We start from the raw sequence: 19647 nt of genomic DNA, 5'->3' as shown, positions 1-19647 counted from the left end.
ATAGATGCTTTGGGACTTGGAATATACAATGACTTCTTTCTTCATGAGGAATTGTTTTGAAGGTAACAACCTTGTCTTATATTTTGTTTTATAAATTTTCAGCTTCCACCCGTGGATGCAGAACTTGACAACGTTAATAACGTTCTTAGGACAGATTTGGATGGCCTGGTCCAACAGGTATGCTTTTGGAAAAAATACAATCACTGATTTTATATCATTTTAAAGGGTGGACTAGTACATAAGAAAATAGGAAATAGCAAAAAAGCAGTGAAATTCTAGAGAAAGGTTGCCAAGAAGGGTGATAGCTATTACCTTCCAGGCAATTGTGTTCATCCTTCCAGTTCCCAGAATTTTTGTTAAGCATCTATGATGTGTGAAGTGGCATGCTAAGACCATGAGAGATCAAGAAGAACATGACCTCTGCTTTCCTAGGCCTCAGAATTTAGTGGGTGTGATGTTGAACCCCACACTGATTCTGATACAAAATGCTGTCCCCCTCTGCCAGTGAGTCAGCTATACTGGTTTTCTTTTTGCTCTTACCCACCTTCACGCATTTGCACATGCTCTTCCCTCTGCTTGGCACTCTCTTCTTTTCCCCTCTCCAAGTAGCTAGCTACTTAGTTGTTTTTTTGTTTTGTTTTGTTTTGTTTTTTGAGGTGGAATCCCCCTCTGTCACCCAGGATGGAGTACAGTGGTACGATCTCGGCTCACTGCAACCTCTGCCTCCCGAGTTCAAGCGATTCTCCTGCCTCAGCCTGTTGAGTAGCTGGGATCACAGCTGTGCGCCAACATGCCTGGCTGAGTTTTGTATTTTTAGTGGAGATGAGGTTTCACCATGTTGGCCAGGCTGGCCTCGAACTCCTGACCTCAAGTGATCTGCCCCCCTTGGCCTTCCAAAGTGCTGGGATTACAGGCATGAGCCACCACACCCAGCCGCTACTTAGTTTTTTAAGCTTCATATATCACCTTCTTCTTCTTTTTTTTTTTTTTTTTTTTTGAGATGGAGTCTTGCGCTGTTGCCCAGGCTGGAGTGCAGTGGCATGATCTTAGGTCACTGCAACCTCTGCCTCCCAGGTTCAAGCGATTCTCATGCCTCAGCCTCCTGAGTAGCTGGGATAACAGGCACACGCCACCACACCCTGCTAATTTTTGTATTTTTAGTAGAGATGGGGTTTTGCCATGTTGGCCAGGCTGGTCTCGAATTCCTGACCTCAGGTGACCCACCCGCCTCGGCCTCCCAAAGTGCTGGGATTACAGGCATGAGCCGTCACGCCCGGTCCATATATCACCTTCTTAACAGACCTTTCCTGGGCTTCTTGACTAGGTCAAACCCTTTTTAATACATTCCTGCAGCATTGCAAATATTCTCTGTTAATTTCCTCATAACTGTAATTATTTCTTTAATGTCTCCCTTCCCACCACTGAACTGTAAACCCCCAAAAACGCAGGGACAGCATTGGTCTGGAATTCCCTGATTTCCCCAGTAGCTTACCAAATCTTGCTCTTTATTCAACTAATAGATACTGAGTATGCAATAAATATTTCTTTTTAGATTATGGTTCAGTAGAGTGCCTGGGCCTATGGGAAAATGAGAGAATAGTTTTATTCTTAACTCTGTCTTTTAGGATGGATGTAAAAAGTCTCAAATCTCTATTAACCCATTTATGCCTAGTGTTCTATTATTGGAACGCTAAGCTTGTGGGAGTTATTTATATCCTACTGCCAAATGTCATCATCAGGTTCTGATTTTTCACAAAAAATATTTGCAACCTTCAGCATAAATGGATTAAACACTTGTCTACATGTGTTTACCAGACACTTACTTACCGACAAAGTAAGTGGTCCCTTAAACAAGTTATTCCAAATTTCTTGGTCTTTGCACTCTGGTGTTACTTCATTTGTTAAAGAAGGCATTGAACCGGGAGATCTGTAAGACACCTTCCAGCTGTGAAACCCCCCATGACATCTGCAAGTCCAGACACAGATGAATGTCAAGGAGTCAGGCATATAGAAAACCAACACAAGCACCGGTGTGCTGAGTAGCTTAGTCTCCTTGGAGGAAACGGAAGTCATGGATGTTCATTTTGTGACATCTGATGTAGCTAGGCTAAGGTGGAAACTGGCTGGCACCATAAGTCTTATGAAGGCTGAAAGTGCTGTACTTTTCCCTGGCAGACGGCTAAGTACACCAGCAGACAGTGAAGAAACACCCACTAAACCTCTTCCAGAGGAAAGGCTGCACGTTTAGTTGAATTATTTGGAAATAATGATATTTCCCTCTCATGGGGGGTTTAGCCCCAAAGCCCTATCGCTCGGCACGGTTGTTTTTTGTTTTTGTTTTATCCTCACCACAGTTGTATCCTCTGTAAGCCATGCTTTAGGACATTTTTTTTTTTCGTTTAGACTATATTTCTAATTTTATTTTTAATTAGAAAGTAAGATTCTGTTTTTAGAAATTCACTTTCTGTCTGCCCATGGGATAGTGTACCGATCAGTGTCTCTTAACCTCAGCACTGGTGACACTGTGCATGGCTGTTAGCGGCGGGGGCTCTCCTGTGCATGGTTGGGTATTTATTAGCATCCCTGGCATCTCCCCACACAATCCCAGCAGCACCCCACAACTGTGATAACCAAAATGTCTCCAGACTTTGCCAAACATACCCTAGTTGAGAACAAAATTTCTCCCAGTTGAGAACCACTGGTATAGATGTATGTACCCATAATAGTACCTAGGCTCTGTGTAAATATGTTGATTTTAAAATTATGGGGACCCCCTATATGAAAAACTTCTAACACGACCTTTGATTGATATAATTTAAAGACAATGCTCTCTAAAGGGGATTTTTTTAGACTCTTGATGACCATATAATGATCATTTCACCCTTAAGATGAATGTTATATTTTTATTTTGCCTCTCTACTCGTACTGAGTTGCAAAATGAGTGACTAGTCAACTAGTCTTTGACTTAACTGTGTACATCCTTTTATTTTGAAATATTTTTCAGGGCTATCAATCCCTTAATGATATACCTGACAGAGTACAACGCCAAACCACGACTGTCGTAGCAGGTGAGATTCACAGTTTGAGGTGATTTTGTGATTGGTAGGTCAGTACAGAGAAATGTGTTGCCAAGTATTGCATTGTTCTTTTCCTCTTAAAAAAACAGTTTCTCATTAAAGCTGTCAAAACTAAACAAATATCAGAGCTTTACAATTGTGTCATTCGGACAGTTAAAAACAAGAACAAACCTGTTATTGAACACTGATAAACATCATCCAGCCCAGCCAGCAGCTGCCACATGGTTGACAGCCACAGTGTGATCCAGGTCCCCAGAGTGTGCGCCTTCAGATCTTACAGCAGCCACAGTTTGGAAACTCATTCTGATTTTCACTGAAGAGAAAAACTGTAGATTATTATATTTTCTAAACAAACTTAAGATCAAAGTTTGTTGTTTTTTTTTTTTTTTTTTTTTGAGACAGAGTCTCGCTCTGTCGCTCAGGCTGGAATGCAGTGGCACAATCTCGGCTCACTGCAAGCTCCGCCTCCCGGGTTCACGCCATTCTCCTGCCTCAGCCTCCTGAGTAGCTGGGACTACAGGTGCCCGCCACCACACCCGGCTAATTTTTTTGTATTTTTAGTAGAGATGGGGTTTCACTGTGTTAGCCAGGATGGTCTCGATCTCCTGACCTCATGATCTACCTGCCTCGGCCTCCCAAAGTGCTGGGATTATAGGCGTGAGCCACCGTGCCTGGCCAAAATCAAACTTTTTAAAGGAATACTGTGTAAAAGAATTTATTTTGTCTATTAGGAAGATTTTAGTCTGTCCACTGATGCTGAGGCAGTAGTATTTTAGGCTCCTTAGGTTGCTTACAATTTTGGAGAGACAGAATCAATGTAGAGAGGATTCTACCCAAATTACTGAATCATGCTGTATTTGGGTTATGGGATTTGGGGTGAACGTACAGAGGGAGAGAATGCAGTGGAAGCAGTTCTTTGTGCAAGGTTAGAGACAAACCTGGATTATTTGCTTGGAGAAGAAATCTCTGGGCTGGGCGCAGTGGCTCACGCCTGCAATCCCAGCACTTTGGGAGGCCAAGGCGGGTAGGTCACCTGAGGTCAGGAGTTCGAGATCAGCCTGGCCAACATGGTGAGACCCCATCTCTACTAAAAATACAAAAATTAGCCAGGCATGGTTGTGCATCCCTGTAACCCCAGCTACTCGGGAGGCTGAGGCAGGAGAATCACTTGAACCCAGGAGGAGGAGGTTGCAGTGAGCCGAGATCGTGCCACTGCACTCCAGCCTGGGCGACTCTCTCTCAAAAAAAAACAAAAACAAACAAACAAAAAAGAACAGAAAAGAAAAGAAATCTCTGAAGCTATGTAAAGCTATCTTCTATTTCTTTTAAAAATCATTTTAGTGCTGCTTTTAACTGTTGAGTAAGTGGTTTTAAAATATTATGTTAGAGATACTTGATTATTTTTCCCTAATAGTGTTCTTTTGACCCATGAAGAGTTTGAGTAGAAAAGTGTTTTATCTTGCTACATGACACTTTAGATGTTTTGTGGGTTTCCTTTTGCATAATATAAGATTCTACTTGAAAATATTAAGATATTAAGGACAGGGTTCAGACTTTGATGTGCTAACCTCTGAAGGCTGATGCATGCTGTATGTCTGACAGCCACCTGCTCACTAATCTCTGTGTTTAATTTTTTGGTTTCCCCTCTCTGGACCTCTCCTGCCCATACATGCAGCCCTTCCTTGTAAGTCTGACACAGCAAATTGTGCTGCGTGCATTGAGTGCGGCCCATGGTGCATGGTGCCATTGCCTGAGCACAAGCCAGTGTCTTCCTAGAGCCGGGCCAGTGCCGCTCTGTCAGCCTGGATAGCAGGTGTTCAGTTTCATGTCCTTTGCTCTCGTGTTTAGGTTGTCTCATCCCAACCTGAACAAATTATTTAGTGCCAACTCTGTGCCAGGCTCTGCCAGGCACTGGGCTGTGAGATGCATAAGCCATGAGTTCTGCTTGTCCTTTAGCCAGCCATGTGTACACAGACTTGTTGTCACACTCTGGCACCATGACCAGGTTTGTGTCAGGGAAACAAGGTGAGGAGAGGCTAGTGGGAGGCTGCCTGGAAAAGGGGACATCGAGAGAGGTTTGAAGAGGGTATATGCCAAGAGAGGACACCAGCCACATAGAGAGTTGTCAGAGCAGCAAAGTCACGGAGCCATGTCGTGCGTGAGGGCAAGCCAGGCTGAGAAGCAGGCAGGGGCCCTAGGAGCTGCTCCTAGAACATGGGAAGGCTGCATTCCCCATCTCTGAAAATCTCAGAAGTAACCAAGAGACCCACTGAGTCATTTTTGGCCAAGGATCCTCAGGTGTTTTCACACACGAGCCATTTGGAGAAGGCAATGAGCCCCCAAGGAGTAACAGTCCTTTCTTAACGAGTCACACCCAAACACCTGACACTCTGTTGCTCGCTTCTGTGTCTTTGATTTCTAGATGTCATAGCTATGTGAAAAACAAACTTTAAAAAAGTTTCCAGGGCCGGGTGTGGTGGCTCACTGCTATAATCCCAGCACTTTGGGAGGCTGAGGCAGGAGGATATCTTGAGCCCAGGAGCAACATGGTGAGATTCCATCTTCCCATCTCTACAAAAAGTAAAATCATAAAAAATTAGCTGAACATGGTGGTACACACCTGTAGTCCCAGCTACTTGGGAGGCTGAGGTGGGAGGATCCTTGAGCCCAGGAGGTTGAGCCTGCAGTGAGCCATGATCGTGCCACTGCACTCCAGCCTGGGCAATACAGAGAGATCCTGTCTCAAAAAGAAAACAAAAAGTTTCTTGCCATTTTTATGTGATTACGTTTTGGACCAAGCTACCATTCTGTTCTCTACCTGAAGTTCACCGGGAGCCTCAGGATAATATTTTGAGAACTGCTAATCTTGTCTCTCTGCTGCTGCAAAGAGATTTACCTCTCTTGCAGGATCAGTGGACTTTTAACTGATTAGTGTGTTCTTAGTATGTCCGTGTCAAGAATCACTTGGATACAGCCACCTTCAGAACTCATGTGAGCGTTGGTTCAGGTGAAATCCTGCACCCAAGGTTAGTTGATTTTAGGACCTGTTGTGATGGACACTCTCCAGAAAACTGGTTTTCTTTGAACTTAACTCCTGTCTGAGAAATTACGACTGAGCAAAAGAAACTGGCCACTGAGACTACTATTGGTTTTTGCATAGAAAAGACACAGATGTACTTCCTAAGATGTCTCAATTTGTATCAGTCAGGTAAAATTTTAACAAAAATATCACCCAGAGTCACTTGTGTTTTTCTGTTTGTTTGTTTGTTTTTTAAATGGGCCTTGAGAATTACTCTGTTCCTGAAGACTTTTTTTTTTTTTTTTTTTTTTTGAGAGCGAGTCTTGCTATGTCACCCAGGCTGGAGTACAATGAATGGCACAATCTTGGCTCACTGAAACCTCTGCCTCCCAGGTTCAAGTGATTCTTCTGCCTCAGCCTCCCGAGTTACAGGCATGCGCCACCACAGCTGGGTAATTTTTGTATTTTTAGTAGAGATGGGGTTTTGCCATGTTGGTCAGGCTGGTCTCGAACTTCTGACCTCAGGTGATCCTCCCACCTCAGACTCCCAAAGTGCTGGGATTACAGGTGTGAGCCACTGTGCCCGGCCCTGAATACCATTTCTTAGAGGGAGAAATTATTATTATTATTTATTTTCCCAAAAGCATGTAAGGGGGACGTTAGAGTCAGATACACCCGAATTTCAATCCCGTTACCAGAGCTTTCTTTAAAAGACCCATGGGCAATTAATTGAATCTCTGTGAGCCTCCGGGTCGCTGTTAGCAAAATGGGGAATGAGAATATCTACCTCAGTGAAATAAATGAGTTACTATTTATAAAAGTGCCTGGCACGTAGTCTGCACACCATGCATTTTAATCACTTGATCTACTTTAAGTAAAGTAAGTGGAAGAAGGAAACTGGCTTGACTTCAGTACCATCTCATTAAAGTCAGTGCTCACAGCTTGCTGTTTTGTTAAGTAATTGCTTTTCGATGGTCTTGGCTATATTCATGCTTGTTGAAGAATCTTACCATATTTTAAACACATACATGACATGAGAAAAACTAAAGGTGGTTCAGGCTTTTCTGTTTGGTTCCAAAACAAAGTTTCTATTTCCTCCATGTTTGCAAATGCATAACAAAGGTATCTTTGTTTTCAGGTATCAAAAGGGTCTTGAATTCCATTGGTTCAGATATCGACAATGTAACTCAGCGTCTTCCTATTCAGGATATACTCTCAGCATTCTCTGTTTATGTTAATAACACTGAAAGTTACATCCACAGAAATTTACCTACATTGGAAGAGTATGATTCATACTGGTGAGTGTCTCCTTGGAGCTGGTGAACTACGAGAGTGAACTTTGTAGAGAACGAGATAAAAATCTGACATTAGCACCAGGATAATCTTATGAGAGCAAATTGTACAAGGAGGCCATGACCTGATATATGTTAACCCCAGTTTATGTTCATTAGAATTTGAAGTGCTCGCTTAGACCAGGCAGCACATATACTAAAATTGGAACAATGCATAGAAGGTTCGCATGACTCCTGTGTACAGATGATATGCAAATTTGTAAAGCAGTCCACGTTTATTTTTAAGTTGAAGACTGGACCTTCGTGAGCCAAATACTTGATAATTTGCAATTTTGATGTCATTAGTGGTTTCTGGAATACTAGTTATAATTATCAAACCAGGCATGTAATGAGATTTTAAAGCTTAAAAGTAATTAAGAAGGACATCTGGGAAATATTCTTTTCTATTTTATAAACCAATATAAACATTGGTTTATAAAATAAATATGCAGAGGTTGGTTCTTACTGAAAGAGCATTCTTTTCTTAGCTGTGCCTTGAAACCAGTGAATTGCTCCCAGAGCTTAGGTGAGTGGCTGTGGTGCCCACTGGTTGTCCCATTAGAAAATGCGAGTGGTGGGGTTTCACCCGGGGTGAGGGTGGTGGACATCCCAGTCAGAGCCCTGGGGAGGGAAGGACTTGGAGGCTCAAGAAATTTAGAGGATCATGTATTAGGTAAGATGCACTTCTCTCTCTGAAGAGCTCAGCAACCCTTTATATCTCCCAAGCCCATGGGGAGTCCGGAGACTCATTCTCATGTGGATTATTTCTTATACAAGACCACAGGATACGTAATTAAAATTATAGCAGTTGCTACCATTTATGGGACAGTTTCAGTGTGCCCACCAAGCACTTTCTGCACATTTCTTTTAATCCTCACAAAAATCCCCTGGCCTGTGTTCCATTTACAACCCTGTTTTCTAGACAAGGAGACGGGCTCAGGGAAGTGAAGTGACTTCCTTAAGGCCAGCTAGCATACGGCAGAGGTAGGTTTTGAAGCTCCATCTGGCTCTGCTTTTTGTCATCGCCCCACAAACAACGAGCTCCAGGGAGCACCTGCCATGATTCCCTTGTGGGGCTAGGCCACCCCAGCAAGTCTCAGAACAAACAGAAGGCAGACCCTTTCTCAGTGAACTTATAATCTCATTAGAGATCAGAGCTTCACAAACGAGAAAGAATAGTACCATTACCTGTCTACCTGACTGCCATCCATCTCCCTTCCTTTTCCCCCTGCCCTGACACTATGAACTTATCTTAAAAAGAAAATTAACTAAGCAGATGCTCCTTTAACTCTAAAAGTTTTCTGAGGCCAGCCTCCATGGCTTATTTAATTTTGTGCCCTCACTGTCTGGAACAAACCTCCCCAGAATGGCTGCCTGTGGCTATTACTATAATTACTGAGATTGCTCTTAATTGAATGAAAAGCTTCAGTGGTGCTGCTTGGTCAAGAGGCACCAAGCAGAAGTAAATTCTTTGTTTTTTAGTGTCTTAAATGTTGGGAAGCATTACTACCCTTGAATGCCTCTTGCTGCCGGGAAAGGTTGTTCTCCCTTCCGGGAATGCCAGTAAGGCCTAATTGAGGATCCATTATCCTAAATGTCTCGCAGGACCATTATGAAATTGAGATTTGCATTCTGCAGGCATTTGATTTAGGATGCTCATAAAATTCTAAATACCCCATGCATCTGCCATGTAATCTGGTTCAGTAAAGAACACAGTGGCCCCAAATATTTCTGCAACCACAAAATATTTTAGAAAAAGGCCCAGGGAAAAGAATCCAGTATTTCTTTATCTGTAGTCTAATCATGATCTAGCCATATGCCTTCATTATTATAATAGGCACTTAGAACATCAGAGGCCTTAAAAGAACATAAAAATCTTAAGGGTGTTTTCATCAGTAGCCTTGGAGAAGCTCAGTGTGCTGTGCTTATGAACCCTGTGTGACACCCGTGGGAATCAAAGCAAAGGAAGGAGGCAATGATCCCATGACCACCAGGAACAATGCAAACCTAGAATCAAAATAAAAGTTTCTCCGCTGGTTGAATTGGAAGGCAAAGGGTGTGAAGGGATCTTTTCACTCAACATTATTGTCCTCTGAGGAATTGATAGAAGACTCTGATTTTAGAAGCCAAGAATAACTCATCGGCTCCAGCCTTAGTCCAGCAGCTTTTGTGTTAGGGTGGCGTCACCTGTGTCATGTATACTAACACTGTGCTTGCCTCTCCAGGTGGCTGGGTGGCCTGGTCATCTGCTCTCTGCTGACCCTCATCGTGATTTTTTACTACCTGGGCTTACTGTGTGGCGTGTGCGGCTATGACAGGCATGCCACCCCGACCACCCGAGGCTGTGTCTCCAACACCGGAGGCGTCTTCCTCATGGTGTGAGTGTCTGCTCCTCTCTGTCATGTGGGAGTGGGAATGCAGGAGAGAGACTGGGTGCTGACTCTGGTGTTACATGAACCCGGCGCCCTCTGGGCCACGTACGCGGGGTTCCAGCTCCCAGGTCGCGAGGAGGAGAGATCCTGCTGTGATGGGACCTTCCTTGATTTGGGTACTTCTGTCAAGCCTAAACATTAAAAACAAACAAACAACAACAACAACAACACTAAATTACTTGCATTTTGATAGACCAGCTTAAGCACACTATTTATATATGGCAGGCTCCTTTTAAAAGCAGCTAGACTTGCTTTCTTGATTTCTATTGTTCCTTCTTTTTGTCATTCATTCATTCATTCATTTATTCACTCACCAGAGGCTGAGCCAATCTCTTGTGGGACAGCAGTATTGGTCAGCAGTATTGCTAGCTTGAAATTCTAGAAACTTGATTTAGAACTAAGGCTGCCAAGGCAGAACCCTTAGGATTTAGACAGGTAGCCTAGATTAGGCGTGAGAACAGGTGTGAGGCAGCAGGGAGAGGTATGCCTGCGGCAGAAGACTGGAGCGACTGTCCCTGCTTCAAAGACATTGACCTCCAAGTTAGTGTCTTTGAAAAACCTGTGACTCTATGGATACGACAAAGCATAGCAGGCATGAGCCAGGTGCAACCGGGGCCAGAGCCAGAAATGTAAGCTAGGATGTGGTGTAATGGCTTTGAATGCTCTGCAGGGAGAGAGCTGTGTGGGTTCTAAGTCAATATTCTCTTTTTGATAAGATCATGAAGAATCAGCAGTAGGGAGTGAGATGGGGCTCTAGGTCAGTGGTTAAGGTTTGAAACAATTCCTTTGGGGAGTGAAGAACCAAAACCTGAGTCGTGTTCTCTCATTTATCCACTTAAGTCACTAGCACGGGGCTGTGAGTGAGCGGGCTGGAGAGCAGATGCTGTACATTAATTTGATTAATTTGTTTTTTAAAACTTTGGGTCTTCAAACCAAATTTTCACACACACACACACACACACACACACACACACACACACACACACACCAAACAAACAAAAAACTTTGGGTCACTGGAACAATAAATCAGGCTTCTTACAAGCTATGATTATAAATCCTTTCCCTACAATAATTAGGCTCCAGTATGGTATAGGCCTTTACAAACTAGAGTCGTAAAATCACCTTAGAGCTAATGACCTGAGGTCTACCAGGGCTGGACAAAGAACTCCACACAAACAGAAGCTTAGATGCTCACAGGCCAAAGCTTAAGAAATTATATTTGTCTGGGCACGATGGCTCACGCCTGTAATCCCAACACTTTGGGAGGCCGAGACAGGCAGATCACTTGAGGCCAGGAGTTCGAGACCAGCCTGACCAACATGGTGAAACCCCATGTCTACTAAAAATACAAAAATTAGCTGGGCATGATGGTGCACACCTGTAATCCCAGGTACTTGGGAGGCTGAGGCACGAGAATCACCTGAACCCAGGAGGCAAAGGTTACAGTGAGCCGAGATCGTGCCAACTGCACTCCAACCTGGGCGACAGAGTGAGACTCTGTCAAAAAAAAAAAAAAAAAAGAGAGAGCGAGAAATAAAGAAAAAAAGAAAGAGGAAGGAAGGAAGGAAGGAAGGAAGGGAGAGAGAGAGGGGGAGGGAGAGAGAGAGAGAGGGAGAGAGAGAGGAAGGAAGGAAGGAAGGAAGGAAGGAAGAAAAAGAAAGAAAGAAAGAAAGAAAGATTAGCTGCAAGTACCTGTGGACAGAGAAGAAAAAAAGGAGAAATCACATCTGCAAGGAAAAATGAATTTGTCTTCCCTTCTTGTTCAAATGTACACAGATACACAAAAATACATTAAACAGAAGATTATTAGGTTGCTGTAAAAGTAATTGCAGTTTTTGCCATTACTTTTAATGTTTAATTGATTTTAAGTTTAATGTTACAAATTTAACAACAATTTAACTTGGTTGTTTGTTAGTGTTTTGGTGGGGTGTGTATATATACCTATATTTCCATCTTTTTTAACTACTTGAAAGGTAGGGTAAATTGCTCTGAAAAATGGTGCACCCCTCATCGAAATTTTATTCACACTTTTTAAAGGGATACAACAAAAAATGTGATATCAAGCTTCAAAGAAAGAAAAAATAAAACAGAGAAATCATCAACAAATTGATGGAGGCTAAAAGCTACCTTAGTTTAGATATACTAATTCTATAGACATGGAGACCTGTGGCATGGAGGCCATAGGATTCATCTCAGCAGCAGGAAGAAGGCTGGTAACTGTCAGATGTTGTTTGATTCATTTCAAGGAGTCTGCAGACTTAGGGTGGCTATGATTTCTTTATTGTTGAATGCAACCAGTCAGCATGGCACGCTTTGCTGTGCTTGGCAGAATTCTCTGCTTCTTGAGGTATCTGGTAAACAACTGGATAATTGCAAAAGGAGGAGATGATACAAGCGTCATCAGTCTAATCAGACTAATTAGAAGAATGCAGTTTCTTTTTTTAAAACTGTTTACTTGCTTGTAGAAACCAGAAAGAGTATGTGTAGTTTTGTTGCAACCAAAACACCACCTGCTCTTTAAAAATGGTGACACCATCCAATCAAGAGCATGGTCTCTTTCAAAACCAAGCAGGAATTCTTACCTCCCAAAAGGATACCAGTGAAAGATCTGGAAGGAGGAAAGTCAGAGAGCCCTGGCTCTGCTCTGATCTTTTATCTTCAGATGGTCCCAGAAGCATTTTATTTTAATTTTATTTTTGTGGAGACAGTCTTGCTTTGTTGCCCAGATTGGTCTTGAATTCCTGGTCTCAAGAGATCCTCCGACCTCAGCCTCCCAATGTGTTGGGATTACAGGTGTGAGCCGCTACCCCTGGCCCCAGGAGCATTTTAGCAGCTGAATAGGATGCAGTGGTGAATGTATTATCTGTTGCAGGGGGGCGTAGGAGGCCTCTCCAGAGATAAGGAGATCTAACAGAGGCACAAGCATCTCGTGATTTGAAGCCCATCATAAAACTTCCCATTTTAGGTATTGACAACAATGCCAAGAGCAGCCACAGGTATCACAAACTGGGCACATTCCTATGGCTGGTGGCAGTTTCTGAGGTTATGGAAAGCAGTTTGTCAGGCTATATAGCAAGGGCTGTAAAAAGACCATGATGCTCTTTGCCGAATAATTTCCATTTTGGGGAATCTAGGTGAAGGAAGTAAGCCAAACTGTGAAGAAATCATCATGAAGAGGGAGGTGTTTTGCAGTATTAGTTATGATAGTGAAGCACTGGAAACAGCCTACATGTCCAGCTGTAGAAGAGTGGCCAAGTGAGTTATGACACATCCATGCGTGGAAGATCACATGGCCCCTGAAATGATAACTAGGTGACAGTCCTAATTTGTTGACAAAAGTTTCTAAGATAATGCATTTGAAAGGGGGTCAGAAAATGATGCATGTATTATCCTAACTGTGCAAATCAGGGGTTAGTCAGCAAGCTTTTCCCAAGAAGGGCCAAGTAATAAATATTTTAGGTTCTGCTGGCCATACACAGTCTTTGTCGCATATTCTTGTTCTTTTTCACCTTCTTTTGCTCTTTCATCTTACTCTTATTCTCCCCCTCCTCTTCCTCCTTTTCAATATTTTCAGTACACATTAGCCATTATCTCACTAACCTTAGAAAAACAGACCTTGGGCAGTGGTTCCCCTACCCCTGATCTAGGAATGTGCATATTTAGAAAATAAAGGCTGGAGATAGTGACTGTATGCGATTTAGAGTAAGAGTCATGGTGCCCTTTTTAGACAGCTGTCTTGGTTTATATGAGTTGTTTAACTCCAACACACAGACACACATGCTCAGACAGGGATCCTGGCATGGCCCTCACTCACTTCTTCTTTGTGCTCTCCCAGACTCAGAAGCCTTGTAGGTCAGAGAAAGTCAGGCTGACCTAGGCCTTTCCAATGAACATTACTTGCTATTTATTTTAGTGAAGATACACAAATATTGTAATTATGGCTTTGGCATCTGCAGGCAAAGGGGAGAATCGTGCCCTTAGGAGGGGATGCTGTGGTGATTGCGAGCATCAGCCCACACCCTTCTGAGGCTCCTTCCTAGTGTGCACCAGTGATGGTATTTGATTTGGCAGCTGCACCTAGATCGATTTAAGAGTTTGTTCTCTATGTCTACATCTAGACAGCTAAGCACTGCTAGAGAAAAGCTACGCACCGGGTACATTGGGTATCCCTACAAACTTAGGATCTCCTGTCTCAAATGGACTTGCCATAGTCTGACAAATCTTTTCTTTTATTTCTTTTGTTTTCTTCCTTCTCTTTCTGTTTTTTTTCTTTTTCGACACCCCCCACACTTTCCTGCAACAGTCTTTTCACTCTGATACGTCCATTTTCCTCTACTTCACCCCTCTCTCAGCAGATGGCTTTACCTCCTTCTTCTCAGAGAAAATAGAAGCCATCATGCAACTTCCCATCATCAAACTTCCAAACACACCTGCTCTCAAACACATCCATCCCTTCTCTGCAGTGCCAGAAGCAGAGGGATTCCTGCCTGCTCAGGTTGATCCCGCCAGCTATATTCTCAATCCCATTCCTTTCCCTGATCCTGATAAAATGGATCATCCCCTTTCTTTTCCATGTCTTTATTCTCTTCCTGTCTCCTTGACTTTCACTCAATACTTAACCAGGCTCTGTTCTCTCCCTTCTTCAGAAATAAAAGCAGAAACTCTTTACCCACACTGCCTCTTCCCTATAGCTCTCCTTCCCCCACACAGGCTCTCAGAGGAGTGATCTGCGCTTGCTGCCTGTGCCCTCCTCTCCTGCTGACTCTCCGGTCCACTCCGATGTGGTTTCCTCCCCCATGACTGCACTTGTTTCAAGTTGGCAGTGACCTCTCTGTGCAATGCAGACAGCACATTGGTTGGTGACAGCCGACCATTCCTTCCTCCTGCAAACACTCCTTTTGTCCCCTAGGTGGCATCACACCCACATAGTTACCTTCCTACTTCTCTGCCTCATCATCTTGGTCTGGTTTGCTGGCCCCTCCTTCCACCACCCATCTTTGTAAATGTTGAAGTCTTCCAGACCCAGCCCTAGGCTGTTTCTCTCTCCAAGCCAGCCCTGGGGATAAATGACCATGGCTAAGCTGCTGGCTCCCTAAGGTACATCCGAAACCCAGATATCTGAGCTCCAAACATACTGACTCCTACACAGTCTTTCCATTCAGTGTCTCTGGCAACAAGACCAACATCCAGCCCATCTTCTCTTTCCTTCCAGAGCATCAGCGCTCCCTGGCACTGCCCTTGGAGCCCTTCCTTGCCTCTACCTCTCGTGTTCAGCGCTTTCCGAGTCCTGCTGCCTCCTATATTATGCCTCCTGTGTCTCCTATATTACATCTCCATCATCCACCAACTCTCCACCAATCCTGCCCCCTTAGGCCACCCTCATGGGCCATGATAACAGCCTCTGCAATGATGTCCCATCCACGTTGGCACCTGTCCAGTCTATCCTTTACACTGTGCCAAGAGTGCTTGCGTTCAGAGAGAAGTCGGGTTGTGCTCCTCGTGTGCTTTCAGCCCCTTATTGGCTACCCCTCGTGGGTCCCCAGGCCCCTATACAGTACATCCCCGCCTTCCCTGGAGCTGTCCCTCCCCAGGTCCCCAGGCCCCTATCCAGTGATCCCCCGCCTGCTCTGGAGCTGCCCCTCCCCAGGTCCCCAGGCCCCCATCCAGTGTACCCTTGCCTGTCCTGGAGCTGCCCCTCTCCAGGTCCCCAAGCCCTGTGTCACTCCTAGGTGGATGATCTGTTTCACCTGAATAACACTGAAGACCCCAGGGCTATTTTATAGAGTATAGGTAGATTTAGTAAGTATCAGTAGGTAATATTGAATCATTCTTTGTTGAATTACTAACTTTATATTTTTTTCCAGTGGAGTTGGATTAAGTTTCCTCTTTTGCTGGATATTGATGATCATTGTGGTTCTTACCTTTGTCTTTGGTGCAAATGTGGAAAAACTGATCTGTGAACCTTACACGAGCAAGGAATTATTCCGGGTAAATATGATTTTCTACCCATTATGAAAGGACTTGAACAGAAACTTGGATTTCTTCATATATTGTGCATTACTTTAAGAGCAGTGCAAACTTATAAGCAGTTTGGTTTAAATTCAGTAAATTTCTTGAAATTATTAAATTCAATAAATTTTCAAATATTCAATAAATTCAGTAGATCCTTTCTATTTGTAAGAGAAAAAAAAATATGGGAGCGTCCTTATTTTCTGATCATAAGCGAAATCAGGGTCAGGAGTTAAAGTCCTGCCGCTCAATGTGGATTGCAGTATTTGGGGAGAAAAGAATTTTCCTCAGCAGTAGTTTCCAAATGTGGCTGGGAACATCAGAAGATCAGTTCCCAGGTTCCTCCCACACACCCTGGGAGATTCCCAGGTGACAGAGGTGTCCACACAGATGAGCCCTATATTTGAAGGGAAAGAGACTGATAAGCGGATGACTCGTGGCAGAGGGCTGACCTGGCACACGTCTAGTAGTGCCACCAGGAAATGAATTCAAGCTTCGCTTTCTCCCTCTCAGTCCAACTCCCACCGACTCCGGGGGACCAGTTGGCAGTTTTGCTTTCTTCATTAATGAGGAAATTTTGTTGTAAGTGTCTGGCTTCTAATTGTGGCTTTTCTGTGTTTTTTTTTTCTCCAGATTCTGATTTTTAAAATATATTTCTATTTCACTCTTTCATTGTATATACATTTTTCCGCCTAAGATCTGTTATGAAATCAGGAGAATACTGTTGTCACAGTATTTTAGTTATTTCACTGGTCGAGGGAGATTAAGTTGAGATCACCAGCAGGTCAAATGATCTCCATTTGGCCTTTTGATAAAAGAAAGACATCAAGCCAGGCATCATTATCTCCTGTAGAGTGTCGAATCATTCAAAGATAATTTTTCTTAAGTACGGGATATTTCAAAACCATTTCTACTTCTCAAGCGCGTACAGTCATGCATTGATTTGCCCATCTTAAATATGTATGATGCAGAGGCAGAGAGTGTGTGAATTTTTTTTTTTTTTTAAGACGGAGTCTCACTCTGTCACCCAGGCTGGAGTGCAGTGGTGCCATCTAGGCTCACTGCCAGCTCCGCCTCCCGGTTTCATGCCATTCTCCTGCCTCAGCCTCCCGAGTAGCTGGAACTACAGGTGCCCGCCACCACGCGCGGCTAATTTTTTGTATTTTTAGTAGAGACGGGGTTTCACCACGTTAGCCAGGATGGTCTCGATCTCCTGACCTCGTGATCTGCCCACCTTGGCCTCCCAAAGTGCTGGGATTACAGGCGTGAGCCACAGCGCCCGGCCAAGTGTGTGAATTTTAATACATTTTGTCCAGAGAGAGAAATAGCGCAGCACTGGGTCCACCACTTAATGGCTGTATATTAGCTATTCTGATCAAATGGTCTACTCTGCTTCTATTTATAATGTGTTTGTTTTATTAAGATAAAGGTTAAAGATTAAAGAGTTCTCGGCGTGGTGGCTCACGCCTGTAATCCCAGCACTTTGGGATGCTGAGGTGGGTGGATCACCTGAGGTCAGGAATTCAAGATCAGCCTGGCCAACATGGTGAAATGCTGTTTCTACTAGAAATGCCATTTCTACTAAAACTACAAAACTAGCCAGGCAGTGGTGGTGCCTGTAGTCCTAACTACTCGGGAGGCTGAGACTGGAGAATCATTTTAACCCGGAAGGGGGAGGTTGCAGTGAGCTGAGATCGCGCCACTGCGCTCCAGCCTGGGCAACAGAGCAAGACTCTGTCTCAAAAAAAAAAAGTTCTCAAAAAAAGTAATTTTAATAATTTTGATTGATGCTACCCATCAATAAATATAATAAATTGATTTATTCCAATTATACTATTATTTTCTAGTTATAAGTTGGAAATCAACCAGAAAAATAATGTTATGAAAAATTTCCAAAATACATTCAACAGAATATTAATTTTATTATATTAGTATGTATGTTAGTGTAAAACTGATTTTTCGAAAATACTTCCTAATGTGTTCTAGGTTTTGGATACACCCTACTTACTAAATGAAGACTGGGAATACTATCTCTCTGGGAAGCTATTTAATAAATCAAAAATGAAGCTCACTTTTGAACAAGTTTACAGGTATCAATATTTGCATTATACATTTCGCTATTTAAGATGTTCTTTTTCTGGAATGAGAATTTTGCATTTGAAGTGTTTTTAAATCTTAATTATATGACTTTCATGTTTCAGAGATAAGCTGTCCTGTATTATTTTAAAGACACAGTAGAAATTAGATCAAAAATATATTCCTTCTACTGAAAGCCTTTGAGACCTTGGAATGGTGATGTTTCAAGGTCTCGCTCTCCAATAATCTCTGGAACTCACTAGTTAAGGTGACCCTACGATGCACTAATGGGACCCCATGAGAGATCTTGTTCAAGAACCACATTGCTCTAAGTAAAAGCCATCCAACAAGAATAGTGAACAGGTGATTCAGTGATTTGGATCACTGATAGGGGGAAGGCAATGCAGTTGGAGAGCTGTCTGCTGTCAGGACTCCTGGGCTCTGACCCCGGCCCCCTCCTGGAGGCTCTGTGCCCTGGGCAATTCCACATCTTCTCTGTTCCACGGGGGTCATGATCATAGGAATCTGACCCTGGGGTTGTTTTAGGGTTAAGTAAGATACATGAGATTCGAATGGTGCCTGACACATCATTTGGACTTGATAAACAATACCTGTTCTTAATATTGTTCATCTAGGCTGGCCATAGTGGCTCATGCCTATAATCCCAGCACTTTGGGAGGCTGAGGCAGGTGGATCACCTGAGGTCAGGAGTTCGAGACCAGACTGACCAATATGGTGAAATCCCATCTCTACTAAAAATGAAATACAAAAATGAGCCAGTCATGGTGGCATGTGCCTGTAGACTCAGCTACTCAGGAGGCTGAGACAAGAGAATTGCTTGAACCAGGGAGGCGCAGGTTGCAGTGAGCCAAGATCGTGCCACTGCACTCCAGCCGGGCAAAAGAGTGAGACTTTCTCTCAGGAAAAAAGAAAACAAAAAAACTATGTATATATATATATAACAACTCCTGACCTCAGGTGATGTATACTACCAGCCATCAGACTAGGAGCCCATTTCACCACTGGGCAAAAGCAGACACTACACAGTGAGCTAAGAGAAATGCATTTCATATATATATATATATATATGTTTGCATTTCATATATATATATATATGAATGAACGAATATATATTTCATATATATATATGAACGAAATGCATTTCATATATATATATATGTTTCATTGAAATGCATTTCTTTTAGCTCACTGTGTAGTGTCTGCTTTTGCTCAGTGGTGAAATGGGCTCCTAGTCTGATGGTTGGTAGTCTTAGGTGTCTGATCTTAGGTGTGAACCCATGGGCAGCTCTCTGCTATGAGCCACAGGGAAGGGAGTCACTTTAAGAGTATTTGAAATCAGTTCACAGGATGCTTTTTAAACACTGGTGACACTTATTTCTCCCACTGTGAGACCGAAGGGCCGGAGGATGTGTGTGTTAACATGGTGTGTTCATAGTGAATGAAACTAAAAATAACAGGGCGATAGTGACTCACATTGAGAGCAGAACACTTCATAAGTCAGAGACACAGAAGCCCTTCCATGCCCTACACGTGAACCACCATTCTTAGTGTTCTTATTATTCTCTCAGAGTTCCTTTATGCAATTTTAAGCAAGTATTAACCCTATGCCTAGCGTTATTATATAGCTTAGTAGTATTCGCCATCATTTGATATTCAAGAGACTTCTTAAGCATTTTGTGAAT

The 19647-nt window shown here is 43.2% G+C and overlaps 1 protein-coding gene and 1 non-coding gene across 40 annotated transcripts in view; both read left to right on the top strand.

The window, feature by feature from the left end:
- Positions 1-19647, top strand: part of PROM1 (prominin 1) — a 115796-nt gene that overhangs the window by 67681 nt on the left and 28468 nt on the right. For all 39 annotated transcript variants that reach the window (NR_199807.1, NR_199806.1, NM_001441179.1 and 36 more), the window contains 6 exons: positions 103-177; positions 3005-3068; positions 7235-7394; positions 9653-9805; positions 15724-15847; positions 17855-17958. Coding sequence is in view for 37 of the 39 variants with exons in the window: in NM_001441179.1 (NP_001428108.1) it covers positions 103-177; positions 3005-3068; positions 7235-7394; positions 9653-9805; positions 15724-15847; positions 17855-17958 (680 nt within the window). In the remaining 2 variants the exon portion in view is untranslated. The remainder of the gene's footprint in view (positions 1-102; positions 178-3004; positions 3069-7234; positions 7395-9652; positions 9806-15723; positions 15848-17854; positions 17959-19647) is intronic.
- LOC124900884 (U6 spliceosomal RNA) lies at positions 7556-7667 on the top strand. Its single transcript, XR_007058518.1, has one exon. It is a non-coding gene; the product is annotated as a U6 spliceosomal RNA (small nuclear RNA).

The sequence above is a fragment of the Homo sapiens genome, chromosome 4 (assembly GCF_000001405.40).
Source record: "Homo sapiens chromosome 4, GRCh38.p14 Primary Assembly".
NCBI lineage: Eukaryota > Metazoa > Chordata > Mammalia > Primates > Hominidae > Homo > Homo sapiens.
The sequence above is the reverse complement of the archived record's forward strand: the minus strand, read 5'-3'. Positions and strand labels throughout refer to the sequence as shown.